At 45.0% G+C, this 14,297-nt stretch overlaps 1 protein-coding gene across 4 annotated transcripts in view, besides 3 other annotated features; it reads left to right on the top strand.

Moving 5' to 3' along the window:
* Positions 1,759-1,838: a silencer, noted in NCBI's record as "silent region_8869". NCBI's record gives its function as "represses an Ori minimal core promoter by ATAC-STARR-seq in GM12878 lymphoblastoid cells {active_cell/tissue: GM12878}" and the evidence as "EXISTENCE:reporter gene assay evidence [ECO:0000049][PMID:35858748]".
* Positions 9,901-10,210: an enhancer, noted in NCBI's record as "active region_12622". NCBI's record gives its function as "activates an Ori minimal core promoter by ATAC-STARR-seq in GM12878 lymphoblastoid cells {active_cell/tissue: GM12878}" and the evidence as "EXISTENCE:reporter gene assay evidence [ECO:0000049][PMID:35858748]".
* The window catches only part of PSMD12 (proteasome 26S subunit, non-ATPase 12), a 28,662-nt gene continuing 24,470 nt past the window's right edge, over positions 10,106-14,297 (top strand). For 3 of the 4 annotated variants that reach the window (NM_174871.4, NM_002816.5, XM_047436440.1), the window contains exon 1: positions 10,106-10,271. In NM_174871.4, the coding sequence (NP_777360.1) occupies positions 10,164-10,271 (108 nt within the window). In that variant the 5' untranslated portion in view covers positions 10,106-10,163. Of the gene's footprint in view, positions 10,272-13,790; positions 13,908-14,297 lie in introns of all 4 variants that reach the window. The other variant, NM_001316341.2, reaches the window with a different exon arrangement.
* Positions 10,231-10,290: an enhancer, noted in NCBI's record as "active region_12621". NCBI's record gives its function as "activates an Ori minimal core promoter by ATAC-STARR-seq in GM12878 lymphoblastoid cells {active_cell/tissue: GM12878}" and the evidence as "EXISTENCE:reporter gene assay evidence [ECO:0000049][PMID:35858748]".

Below are 14,297 nucleotides of genomic sequence, written 5' to 3'. Positions count from 1 at the left end.
ACAGTGAAATGTCAATGAAAATGCCTGGAGTGTTGCTATTTGATCCATATTAAACAGATCTCTCATTTTAACCACAAGAAGCACATTCTTCAGTTACTCAGGAAGCAGCATGGAACTGCTGAAGTCTGTTTTTCATTTGTCTGGTATTTTTCAGCTTGTTTTTATGAAAAGTTGCCGGATGAAAAATGCATCAGTTGCCTGTATGAGAATAACCTGTAAGCGTTATCTTTTCTCCGAAAAATCTTCACGCTCTGAAGTCCTGAAGCTAGAGCTTAGATGGCGATGCAGATGCCTCAATACAGTATTTTGAATTGTGTTTAATTAATAAGTAATTAACCAATATGACGATGATGGGCTTGTGGCAAAAGTCATCCAGAGGGCTGGAGAGAATTTATAACTGTTAACTGATACAAACCCTCCTAGGAAAATGATACCCTATATCCAGCTTATATTTTAGTGGAAACTATTTTCCAGATAAATGCTTTCCAGAGTTGGCTCAGAAATATTCACAGCAACTAATTAAAGCTAAACCAAATTCCTCGAGGTGGAAAATCTAAATCTGACACTGCAGTGTTGAATAATAACACATTGGAAGGCTGTGATATGGAAAGAAACTCAAGCTGTTTTTCCTTTTTTTTTTTTTTTTTTTGCTTCTTACTTGAAAACAAATGGAAGACCTAATAATCTTCCCAGAGGCAGGAAGGCAAGGGATTGGCTAGCCACACATGCGCATGCACTTGGGACATCGGGATGTGTAGGCTCAGTTCCTGGCTTCCTGGACATTTCCTGACACTGATTCTGGAAGGAAGTATTCTACTGACGGGTGACACTGTTGAGGAGCTACTTCTCTGAATTTCCCGAACTGTAAATTGTCACATATATGCTTCCTCCATCATCCGTCTTGTTGCTGTTATTGGTTTGTGATGGAGTTTCGCTCTTGTTGCCCAGGCTGGAGTGCAATGGCATGATCTCGGCTCACTGCAACCTCCACCTCCCGGGTTCAAGCAAGTCTTCTGCCTCAGCCTCTGGAGTAGCTGGGATTACAGGCACCGGCCACCACGCCTGGCTAATTTTGTATTTTTAGTAGAGATGGAGTTTCACCATGTTGGTCAGGCTGGTCTCAAACTCCTGAGCTCAGGTGATGGCCTCGGCCTCCCAAAGTGCTGGGATTACAGGTGTGAGCCACCGCGCCCAGCCCACCCCTCCTGTTGTAAGGTGACTTCTCCATTGGATTCTCATTTTCTTTTCATTCATTGCATCCGCAAACCTGGTCATATTAATCTTGTGCAAGTACAGCTCTCATCCTGCCACCTTCAAACCTTTTAGTGATTCCTGGCTGGGCTCGGTGGCTCACCCCTGTAATCCCAGCACTTTGGGAGGGGAGGTGGGCCGATCGCATGAGCCCAGGAGTTCAAGACCAGCCTGGGAAACATGCTGAAACCCTGTCTCTAAAATTTAAAAATATATAAAAACCTTTTAGGGCTTCTCTATGGCCTACTGAGCAAGTCAAAATGCTTTGGTAGGAGGTTCAAGGCTCTGGATCTACCTTTCCCACATTAGTCCATTACCCTTCCCAGCCCAACTCCAGCCAAATGAGACGAGTCAGTTGGCTGCAAAAGCCCCTCCTCCCCGGCCACCTTTCTAGCTCAACCCTTCTGCTGTTCAACCCGTTGCCTTCACAGAGAATCCCTCTCCCCAATTCAATCCCCATGACACCATTTTAAAGCCAGGCCTTGGCAATCTGCGCTTCAGACAGTGGTTCTGATAGCAGTGAGCTGGAGGGGCTAGCAGAGGCGGGAGGGGCTGGTGCAGGGCATAGGGAGGGCATATTCATTCATAAGTCATGCACACTGAGGGCGGGGCGCGCCATCTACTGGCCAAGCACTGTGGTTTTAAGTCCTGTCCTCAGCAAGTGTCTGGCAAGAATTGTATCTTTGTTTCTTCTCAACCAATGAAGTCGCAATATCTACTTACGAAGAGCCTTGAAGCTGTTGCTATCATCATTATGGACAGTCATGATGTTCCATTAACAATGTACAATCTGCCGTGGCTGATCATCACATTTTTTTAAATGGGGGTGGGACACAAAAGGCAAAAAGAGGAACAAAACAGTAAAGTTACCAGAGAGGAATGATAAGACAAAGAGGAAAAGAATATGAGGCTGTGCATGTCTGTGACAGCATCTGTTCTCAGATAAGTGACAGTCTCTGAAAGCAGGGGTTCTCAAAACGCAGGAGGGGGTATGGCACACCAAGATAATCTAAGAAGACTGTCAACCTATTCTCTTCGAGGCATTCTGATGATCTCTTTAATCCTCCATGTCTGTGTGAAAAAACTAATAAGGTCTTGACCCACCTCTGTAAACAGCCTCTGAAAGAAAAGTGTACTAACAGGAATTTCTGACGATTAAAAAATGAAGGCCGGGCATGGTGGCTCACGCCTGTAATCCCAACACTTTGGGAGGCCGAAGTGGGCGAATCACTTGAGATCAGAAGTTCGAGACCACCCTCGCCAATATGGTGAAACCCCGTCTCTACTAAAAATACAAAAAGTAGCTAGGCGTGGTGGCTCGCGCCTGTAGTCCCAGCTACTTGGGAGGCTGAGGCAGGAGAATTGCTTGAATCTGGGAGGCGGAGGTTGCAGTGAGCCGAAATCATGCCACTGCACTCCAGCCTGGGTGACAGAACAAGACTCCATCTCAAAAAAAAAAAAAAAAGATTTGTCCCTTCTCTATATATATTTATTCAAATATATATATATATATATATATATATATATATATATATATATCTGTGTGGATTTGTGCTTATTTATTCTATACTTCAAGTTATAATCAACATTATGTTATTTATTTTGCTGCTCAGACAGTTCCAGCATTGGCTGTTGGGAGCTCTTTCTGGTTGGCTCCTATGTGCTTTTGACATGGCCTCTTTTTGTTTTTTGTTTTTTGGTTTTTTTTTTTTTGAGCCGGAGTCTTGCTCTGTCACCCAGGCTAGAGTGCAATGGCTTGATCTCAGCTCACTGCAACCTACGCCTCCCAGGTTTATGCGATTCTCCTGCCTCAGCCTCCCAAGTAGCTGGGATTACAGGCATCCGCCACCACGCCCGGCTAATTATTTGTATTTTTAGTAGAGACGGGGTTTCACCGTGTTGGCCAGCTGGTCGCGAACTCCTGACCTCAGGTGATCCACCCGCCTCGGCCTCCCAGAGTGCTGGGATTACAGGCGTGACCCACGGTGCCCGGCCAACATGGCCTCTTTTTTATAACATTTTAAAAATCAAATGTTATTCTTGCATTTTTTTTCTTTTTTTTTTTTTTGAGACAGGGTCTCACTCTGTCACCCAGGCTTCTGTGGAGCAGCATGATATCAGCTCACTGCAACCTCCACCTCCCAGGTTCAAGTGATCTTCTGGCCTCAGCCTCCCAAGTAGCCGGGACTACAGGCACATGCCACCATGCCAGGCAATTTTTGTATTTCTTTTGTAGAGATGGCATTCTGCCATGTTATCCAGGCTGGTCTGAAACTTTTGAGCTCAAGCGATCCAACTACCTTGGCCTCCCAAAGTGCTGGGTATAGTGTGAACCACTGTGCCCAGCCTACAATTAATTTTTGTTTTATTAAATATTACTTGCTTAATTCCAACAAAGGCTAAGTGTTTGTGTGTGTGTTTGTGTTTAAATACCTGTATATTTGATCTTGTTTGGTTACTAAGCTAATGTTAAATTCTTTCTTAATGACACAGAGGAAGTCCCAAGGCAATTCTTATGTATAGACCCACCCATCTATCAGGCCTCTGTTAAATATAGACAATGTCTTTGATGTGGAATTGCTTGTATTTTTGCAGTAAATGCCCATAAAATAAAAGTGAATTGACAATGATGTGTTACAAATTGCTTCACATAGAAAAAAAACTGGAGGTTCTGTGGCCAAAGGTATAGTTTCTTTTTTAAATAAGTAAGATAGCAATAAATTGGCCAGTGCGGTGGCTCACACCTGTAATCCCAGCACTTTGGGAGGCCAAGGCAGGCAGATCACTTGAGGTCAGGAGTTCGAGACCAGCCTGGTCAACACGGTGAAACACCGTCTCTACTAGAAAAAATACAAAAATTAGCCACAGGGGACAGTGGCATGATCATAGCTCACTGCAGCCTCAAACTCCTGGGCTCAAAGGATCCTCCCACCTCAGCCTCCTGAGTAGCTAGGATAACAGACATACCACACCCAGCTAATTTTTAACATATTTTGTAGAAACAGGGTCTTGACATGTTGTCCAGGCTGGTCTTGAACTCCCGGCCTCAAGAGATCCTCCTGCCTTAGCTGGGATTACAGGCGTGAACCACTGCACCTCACCCAAATTCAAATCTTAGGCCCAAATGACACCTCTTAACTTGAAACTTGAACACCAACTTGCCTTCTTGTCACTTGGATATCTGACAGTCACCTCAAATTTATCCAAAACTGAGCTCCTCTCTCTCTTTTTTTTTAATTAATTAATGTATTTATTTATTTTTGAGACGGAGTCTTGCTCTGTTGTCCAGGATGGAGTGCAGTAGTGCAATCTCGGCTCACTGCAACCTCTGCCTCTCAGGTTCAAGCGATTCTCCTGCCTCAGCCTCCTGAGTAGCTGGGACTACAGGCACGTGCCACTGCGCCCGGCTAATTTTTGTATTTTTAATAGAGACGTGGTTTCGCCATGTTTGCCAGGCTGGTCTCGAACTCCTGGCCTCAGGTGATCCACCTGGCTTAGCCTCCCAAAGTTCTGGGATTACAGGCATGAGCCACCACACCCAGTTTACCACCTTGATCTTAGTTCAAATCACCATCATTTTCCTTCTGGATTATTGCAAAAACCTCTCAACTGTCTCCTAACTTCTGCCCAATCTAGTCACCACACAGCAGCAAGAATGATTCTTTTAATATGTAAGTCAGCTCATGCCACTTCCTTGCCCAAAACCCCCAATAGCTTCTCATCTCACTAGGATTAAAAGCCAAGTCCTGGCCAGTTGAGGTGGCTTATGCTTGTAATCCCAACACTTTGGGAGGCTTAGGTGGGAGGATCACTTGAGTCCAGAAGTTCAAGACCAGCCTGGGCAACACAGTGAGACCCTGTTTCTACAAAAAACAAAAAAATTAGCCAGGTGTCGTGGATGCGCCTATAGTCCCAGCTACTCTGGAGGCTGAGGTGGGAGGATCACTTGAGCCTGGGAGGTCGAGGCTGCAATGAGCTGTGATTATGCCACTGCACTCCAGCCTGTGTGACAGAGCGAGACCCCATCTCAAAACAAAAACAAAAAAACAAAAACCCAAGTCCTATAGCTCGTGCCTGTAATCTGAGCTACTTAAGAGGCCAGCTACTTGGGAGATGAAGGCAGAAGGATCGCCTCAGCCCAGGGGTTCAACACCAGCCTGGGCAACATAGCGAGGCCTCCTTCTCTAAAAAAGTAGAAACCGAAAACACCAACCCCTATAATGGCCAAGTTGCCCTAAACCTCATTTCCTAGGACATTCGCCCTCACTCATTCTGCTCTTGTCACTCTGACCTCCTTGTTCTTCAAACAGGCCAGATGTGATCTGATTGCTCTCATCTCAGGGTTCTCTCACCCGTGGTAGCCTCTGCCTGAATCTTCATCCCCCAGATACCTGCAAGCCTGGCTCCCTTCTGTTCTTGGCTTACTAGTGATTCCCTCCCTGACTACTTCCCAAATGCTTATCACACCTCCTGCCCTACCCACACGCATATTTACATATTTATTTTCTGTCTTCTCCCCATTATAGAACATTGACTTTCCATAGCTGGGCGTGGTGGCACAGGCCTGTAATCCCAGCACTTTGGGAGGCCGAGGTGGGCAGATCACCTAAGGTCAAGAGTTTGAGACCAGCCTGGCCAATATGGCGAAACCCATCTCTACTGAAAAAATACAAAAATTAGCCAGCATGGTGGTACACACCTATAGTCCCAGCTACTTGGGAGGCTGAGGCTGGAGAATCACTTGAACCCAGGAGGTGGTGGCTACAGTGAGCTGAGGTCATGCCACTGCACTCCAGTCTGGGCGACAGAGCAAGACTCTTTCAAAAAAGAAAAAGAATGTTCACTTCCCAAAGGCAGGATCTTTAGGACAATTATGTGCACGACTAATAAGATGGATGTACCAGGAATGCCAACTATAAAAAAAATACCAGGCAGGGCACGGTGGCTCACGCCTGTAATCCCAGCACTTTGGGAGGCCGAGGCGGGCGGATCATGAGGTCAGGAGATCGAGACCATCCTGGCTAACACAGTGAAACCCTGTCTTTACTAAAAATCCAAAAAAAAATTAGCCGGGCCTGGTGGGGGGCACCTGTAGTCCGAGCTACTCGGGAGGCTGAGGCAGGAGAATGGTGTGAACCCGGGAGGCGGAGCTTGCAGTGAGCCGAGTAAGCCACTGCACTCCAGCATTAGCGACAGAGCGAGACTGTCTCAAAAAAATAAAAAAATAAAAAAAAGTACCCAACATAGTAATTAATATAGGGGCACATTATTTCTAATAATGAGTATCATAATATTACTGTTCTTTCTGAATAAACTCCTCTTCGCAATCAGCATTTCTCCCTTGCCTTTTAGATATTCCTACACTGCCAATTTTTCTCTTCTGAAATCAACTTCTTTCTTGCAAAGCCACAGATTTAATCTCAGACTCACCCAAATAAAGAATTCATATAAAGTATCTGTCTGTAATACAGTACTCTCACCTATTTTTTTCTGACTATTGCTCAGACTTCTGAGTTCCTCTTTATTTATTTAACTTTAATCTCTTGTTTTCTTAGGATCTCAACTTGCTTTCATTTTCTTTTACCTCTAAGCTCAGCAAGGAAGGGCTTCAGTTTGGTTTGGGAGTCAACTACTTTTCTCCCCCTCCTATTTGCCCCTTCTTAGACCCTTCCCTTTATTTTTGAGTTCAGGAAATCATAAATCTGTCTACTCCATCACACCTTTGTTACTTTTTGTCTTCTCAAACTCTTCACTCTAAATTTAGACCTTCAGCTGGGCGCTGTGGCTCATGCCTGTAATCCCAGCACTTTCGAAGAGGCAGGAGGCTCGCTTGAGGCCAGGAGTTCAAGACTCGCCTGGGCAACACAGTGAGACCTCCCCCATCTCTGCCAAAAATAAATAAATAAATACATAAATAATAAAACAATAGCTGAGGGCCGGGCACAGTGGCTCAGACCTGTAATCCCAGCACTTTGGAAGGCCAAGGCAGGCGGATCACTTGAGGTCAGGAGTTTGAGACCAGCCTGGCCAACATGGTGAAACCCAGTCTCTACTAAAAATACAAAAATTGATTAGGTGTGGTGGTGCACGCCTGTAGTCCCAGCTACTTAGGAGGCTGAGGCAGGGGAATCACTTGAACCCAGGAGGCAAATGTTGCAGTGAGCCGAGATCACACCACTGTACTCCAGCCTGGGTGGCAGAGCGTGACTCCGTCTCAAAAAACAAACAAACAAACAAAAACCAATAGCTGAGTAGTCTCAGCTACTTGGGAGGCTGAGGCAGAAGAATCACCTGAGCTTAGGCCGTCAGGGCTGCAGTGAGCCCTGATCTTGCCACTGCACTCCAGCTTGGGCAACAGAACAAGACTATGTCTCCAAAAAGATTTTTTTTAACAAAAAACAAATTTACACTTCCAGATCCTGTTGTCTACTCTCATCAAACCAATGTCACACAGAATATGTAGTGAAAAGGCATCTTAGCCTAGTGTGTCTCAACAGTACCAGCCTCTAGAGTGTGTTTTAGAAGCCTGCAGGGGAATTTGGGTTGTGACAATCACAGAGGGAAGAGGGAGACACCAGCATGTAATTGCAATGCTAAACAGCCTGCCAGGCAACAAGCCCACACAATAAAATATTGTCCCACATTCCATCAGACTTTTGAATGTCCTACCAGACACTTTCTTCTGTGTCTGAGGCCTAGACTCTAAGTCAATTTTACTTACGACAAGCTACTTTTCTTTCACTTTTAACATCAACTAAAATTTCTAAGAATTCTTCCATGAGAAAAACAATGGAAGATTATATGTTGATATAGTCAGAACTTTATTTCAGCGTGTCATGGATTATAAAGTTTCTTTGTTTATTTATTTATTTATTTTGAGACAGGGTCTCGTCTGTCACCCAGGTTGGAGTGCAGTGGCGCAATCTTGGCTTACTGCAACCTCCACCTCCCGGGTTCAAGCAATTCTCCTGCCTCAGCCTCCCGAGAAGCTGGGATTACAGGTGCGTGCCATGACGACTGGCTAATTTTTGCATTTTTAGTACAGACGGGGTTTCGCCATGTTGGTCAGGCTGGTCTTGAACTACTGGCCTCAAGTGATCCACCCACCTCAGCATCCCGAAGTGCTGGGATTATAGGCATGAGCCATAAGACCCATCTGATGGACTATAAAATAAAAAAAAAACAATAAGAGCTTTACCAAGAAGTGGCTTGTTGCTCACCATTTTGGAAAATGTCACCAACAATAGGCCCTTACCATGCTTCAGGAACCAAGAGAACACACCTGTTGCAGTTGCAGCTTTTACATTTATAGTTATTGTGTATGGGTGTAAATAACTACTTCCTTGTATTTTCCACTGTAGACATGTTTTAGCCCTTATCTCTTGAAATATATATTATTTTGCTATTTTAAAATTTGTTTCTTGGTTGGGCACAGTGGCTCACACCTGTAATCTCAGCACTTTAGGAGGCCAAGGTGAGAGGACTGCTTGAGGCCAGGTGTTTGAGACCAGCCTGGGCTACGTAGTATAGCTGCTATCTCTACAAAAATAAAAAAAAGGTAAAATTTGTTTCTCCTCTACATTACAGATTATAGCTGAGATATTGTCTTATTTTGCTTGTAGATGGTTTATATTTTCCCTGATTTTCATTGCAGTTAAAACAAACAAAGAGATCTATTCAGCATCTATAAAGCGATGTCGGCACTAATTAAATTGAGAACCACTAACATAATAGATAAACCACTCCAAGATTTCCCGTTTTCCTGTTTGCTTTCCAGGCTGCTGTTGACCATATGCCCACACCAAACACAACCTCATTCCCATTTTCTTTACTTTTCTTTTTCTTTTTTTTTTTTTTTTTTGAGACGGAGTCTTGCTCTGTCGCCCAGGCTGGAGTGCAGTGGCGCAATCTCGCCGGCTCACTGCAAGCTTCGCCTCCTGGGTTCACGCCATTCTCCTGCCTCAGCCTCCCGAGTAGTTGGGACTACAGGTGCCCGCCACCACGCCCGGCTAATTTTTTGTATTTTTAGTAGAGACGGGGTTTCACCGTGTTAGCCACGATGGTCTCGATCTCCTGACCTCATGATCCGCCCGCCTCAGCCTCCCAAAGGGCTGGGATTACAGGCGTGAGCCACCGCGCCCGGCCTCATTCCCATTTTCAAGGATCCTAAGCTTTTTTAAGATCTCAAGCTATTTTCTAGGGACCAGCATGGTATGAATGATAACACATAAAACGTGTAAGGCCCTTAAGAATTGAAATTGTCTCACATGTCATCTAGTTTGATGCTCACGAAAATCCTATAGGGATAACAAATATGTCTTTTTAACTTTTCTTTTTACCAACTTAGTGGATTACAGTGAAAATGAAAACAAAGAGAAAAACCACTTTGCTTATTAAATGACTGAGCTGCTGCCATATCTTCTCTTAGGAGCTTTCAGAGATCCCACAGAGTAAGCCACCAAGATTCTCAAGTAGATAAAACCTTAGAATTTTCTATTTTAAGGTTTATTTTAGCCTCCTGATGTAGAGATGAGAAAACCGAGATCCAAGAAAAGCGACTGGCCACGGTCCTGAGAAATCATATTTCGAAGCAGGGGTGTAGGGATATATGAGATGGTCTGTTCTATTACACTCGCTTTTCTCATCGCAAATTTTAGGTAAAAAGTCTGATGTTCCCAGAGACAAAACCTGACGCTGCAGGCTGGAGTGGCGAGTCCCGCCCCGCGCGCCTCAAGCCCCACCCCCAGGCTGTCCGCGGCAGTGCCTGAGTGGCAACCAGCGCCGGGGACCTCGAGGGGTCCTTTGCGTGGGCTCCCGATGGGCTGCCTGAGCGGGTGCGCGGGCAACTTCCGGTGTGGGTGACGAGTGGTGGCCGAAGCAGGGGGACAGCAAGGGACGCTCAGGCGGGGACCATGGCGGACGGCGGCTCGGAGCGGGCTGACGGGCGCATCGTCAAGATGGAGGTGGACTACAGCGCCACGGTGGATCAGCGCCTACCCGAGTGTGCGAAGCTAGCCAAGGTGAGGAGAGGCCGGCTGGCTGTTGGCGGGCGCCAGGGGCTGAGTCACGGCGCGGAGCCTGCTTAGGCCTCAGGGGGCCTGCGGGCTGGAGCGTGCACCCCCCAATGCCTGTCCAGCCCTAGTTGGGCCTGCACGAGTGGGAGACCCCAGGTCGGCCCGGCCAGGGCTGCGGAGTACGCCAGCGCCTATAGCTTCCCAGACCCTCCCCAAAACAGATGGTCACTTCCCTCCGTGGGACTTAGGGCTCCGTTTAACTTTTTGCCGTTTCTTGGATGCTGTTTAAGTGATATTTACCTTAGTAGTTTCCCAGGGGTTAAGGCCGCTTCAGTATTAAGGCTAGATCAGAGAGTTTCGTTCTGTTGCTGTTGCTCAATCAATTTATGTCGTTACATCGTTTGTGGATCATGGCTATGTGCCTGGTCTTTGGCCAGGAGAAGGGGCAGGAAAGTGATAGTACGAAGATGACTAACACAGGACCCTGTCCTTTAGGAGTTGATGTACGTGATGAATTAGTCAAGTCATGCATGGTGGTGAGGGCCATACAAGGGGAAAGTGTTACTGGAACACCGAGAAGGAAGCTATGCATTCTTAATGGTGCCATAAGGGAAGGTTTTACAGGAAGGCTGACGTTTGTATTGGGTCTTGAGGAATTAGTAAGATTGAGGTGGGGTGGAGTCATTACTGAAGACGGAACTACAGAAGTAAAGACAAGTAGGCACTATAAGAGTTTAACGGGCTTTCCAAGAAACAAGGATGGAGAAAGGTGATAAAGTTGGTACGTATGTATATCTTAGGTTCAGTATGCTTGCTGAGGGGGAGCCACAAATTCATTAAGAGCTTTCTAGCAGCTAGCATCAACAAACATCAGTTACATAAGGGTGGGAAAACTCAGCCGCCTCCAATGCCAGACAGATAACAATAACTGATATTTGTTGAGTAGTTTCTGCAGTGTCAGGCACCGTGCTTACATGCACTAAGCCATTTGATCCTCACCTCAGCCCTATGCGATGGCTATTACTATTATCCTTATTTTACAGGTAAGAAAACTTGGGCTAGAAAAAGTTGAATCACATGCCCCAAGATCATACAGCTAGTAAAGTGGTGAAGCCAAGAAGCAAACCCAGGCAGACCGATTCTAGATTCTGGAGCTGGTGCCCTCACACACCATGCTGTCCTGCCTAGAAGCCTATTGTAGTGAAAACCTGAACTTTTTTTTTTTTTTTTTTTGAGACGGAGTTTCACTTTTTTCACCCAGGATGGAGTGCAGTGGCGCAATCTTGGCTGACTGCAACCCCCGCCTCCCGGGTTCAAACGATTCTCCTGCCTCCGCCTCCCGAGTAGCTAGGACTACAGGTGCCACCACGCCCGGCTAATTTTTGTACTTTTAGTAGAGACGGGGTTTCACTACGTTGGCCAGGCTGGTCGCACGCGACCTCCTGACCTAAAGTGATCCACCCACCTCTGCCTGCCAAAGTGCTGGGATTACAGGCGTGAGCCACCGCGGCTGGCCAAAAACCTGAACTTTCGAGCACCTGCCCAGGAAAAGGAGACGGCAGATCTTCACCTTCAGATAATCTTTGCCAATTGGGGATGAAGGCCGAGTATTGTCGATGCTGCTAATTTGAGGGAGAAACCAGGAAGATGAATTTCTCATTAAATACCTTAATATTTAGAAATTGGATACTAATCTGTCATATTAAAATACTATTTGAGCCAATACAATGTAGCTAGAACAAAACATACAGGCCAAGGTCAGCCCCTGAACCTCCACTTTGGAATTAATAGAATGATAGTGTCCATAAGGAAGAAACAAGTAATTTGCTCTAGAGAAGGACAACCAAATCTTCCTTTTATGAATTTCTGTTAATACCAGTCTACTGTTTGCAAGACCTAGTCAGTGTTAGACACTATGAGAAATACAGAGATTACTAGACAAAGCTCTTGCCCTCGAACAGCTTATAGATCAGTAAGAAAAAAGACTTCACTGCTACAGTTGTTCTGGTGATCTTATGTAGCATTTATTCCTAAATAATTGTTGTTATGCTCCAGGCTGTTGAAAAACTTGCAAACTCCAATACCATATGCCTTTTTAGGTGTCCAGTGGGTAACAGAAGTGTTTAAAAAAAAGAATGTTGGGGCCTGTTAAGATAGATACATTTGAATTTTGATTTTTTTTTTTAAGCCAGTGTGCCAGCTGAATAAAACAAGGTATATGTTGTGGGAGGGTATACTTTTTTTGTTTGTTTTTTGATACCGAGCCAGTTTCAACTGTAAATTAGATGGTTACCCTACACTCCTGGTTAATTTTTTTAAACATATTTTTCTGTTTTGCTTTTTATTTATTTTTTTTATTTTTTGTTTCGAGACAGAGTTTCGCTCTTGTTGCCCAGGCTGGAGTGCAGTGGCGCGGTCTTGGCTCACTGCAACCTCCACCTCCCGGTTTCAAGCGATTCTCGTGCCTCAGCCTCCCGAGTATCTGGGATTACCGGCATGCACCACTACGTCCAGCTTATTTTGTATTTTTAGTAGAGACGGGGTTTTACCATGTTGGTCAGGATGGTCTCAAACTCCTGGCCTCAGGTGATCCACCTGTCTCTGCCTCCCAAAGTGCTGGGATTACAGGCATGAGCCACCGTGCCCAGCTGCTTTTTATTTTCCATTTCATATTATTTTCTAACCATTCTGCCAAACATAAAAAAAAATTAACATTGCATTTCTACATTGGAATGTATGGAACAGTTAGTATACATTCTTTTGATTTTATTTTGAGCCCATCAAACTATGAAGAACGTCTTGTTATTTTCACTTGTGAGAAAATTTAAGCTTCAGGCAGCTTAAGTGGTTTATTCAAGGCAGATCAAACTCACATCTCCTGGTAAAAAGAATAGTGTTCTTTTTGCTACTACCTCTTTAAGAGATTATCAATTCTGTCCTTAATTTCCTTAAGGCATTTTTTATTTTAAATGTGAAAGACATTTGAAGATGAAAATTGTGTATATAGCACTTTGGGAGGCCCAGGTGGAAAGATCACTTGAGGCCAGGAGTTTGAGGCCAGCCTAACGAGATGCTGTCTCTACAAAAAAATTTTTAAAATTAGCCAGGTGTTGTGGTACGCACCTGTTGTCCCAGCTACTCTGGAGGCTGAGGCAGGAGGATCGCTTGAGCGCAGTAGTTCGAGGTTGCAGTGAGCTATGATCGCATCACTGCACTGAACCCTGGGCAACAGAGTGAGACCTTATCTCTTAAAAAAAAAAAGTTGTATATAGAGACTTAATAATGTATTAGATGGGAAACTGTATTTAGCAGAAGCCTTAGAAAGGCAGACAAATCCTAGAGTTGGTTTGTAAAATTGCCAAATGTAGATCCTTTAAATCACTTGTAGTTGTCACCTAGTACAGTTTTATGTCTGTCCTAACACCCATGTTGCAAATGATAATAACTAATATTTATTGCTGTATACGTTTTATTAAAATGTCAGCTGCTATGATGATAATGATATGTACTCATACTGTGTTCCAGGCATGCCTTTATAGGTATTGATTTAAATCTTACACCAACCCTGTGGATTGGTACAATTATTGTGCCCACTTCGCTGAAGAGAAAATTGAGAGTCAGAGAGCTTGTGTTTTACTCAAGGTAATATGGTAGTACAGCTGGGATTTAGACCTGAGCAGTCTGGCTGCAGAGCCTGTAGTGGGTTTTTTTTGTTTTTTTGTTTTTTTTTTGGGTTTTTTTTGTTTTTTTTTTTTTGAGATGGACTCTTGCTCTGTTGCCCAGGCTGGAGTGCAGTGGCGCGATCTCGGCTCACTGCAACCTCCATCTCCCGGGTTCAAGGAATTCTCCTGCCTCGGCGTCCCCAGTAGCTGGGACTACAGGCGTGCACTACCATGCCTGTATTTTTAGTACAGACAGGGTTTCACCATACTAGCTAGGCTGGTCTCAAACTCTTGATGTTGTGATCCACCCGCCTCAGCCTCCCAGAATGCTGGGATTACAGGCGTGAGCCACCGCGCCCAGCCAGAGCCT

The sequence above is a fragment of the Homo sapiens genome, chromosome 17, assembly GCF_000001405.40.
Source record: "Homo sapiens chromosome 17, GRCh38.p14 Primary Assembly".
NCBI lineage: Eukaryota > Metazoa > Chordata > Mammalia > Primates > Hominidae > Homo > Homo sapiens.
The sequence above is the reverse complement of the archived record's forward strand: the minus strand, read 5'-3'. Positions and strand labels throughout refer to the sequence as shown.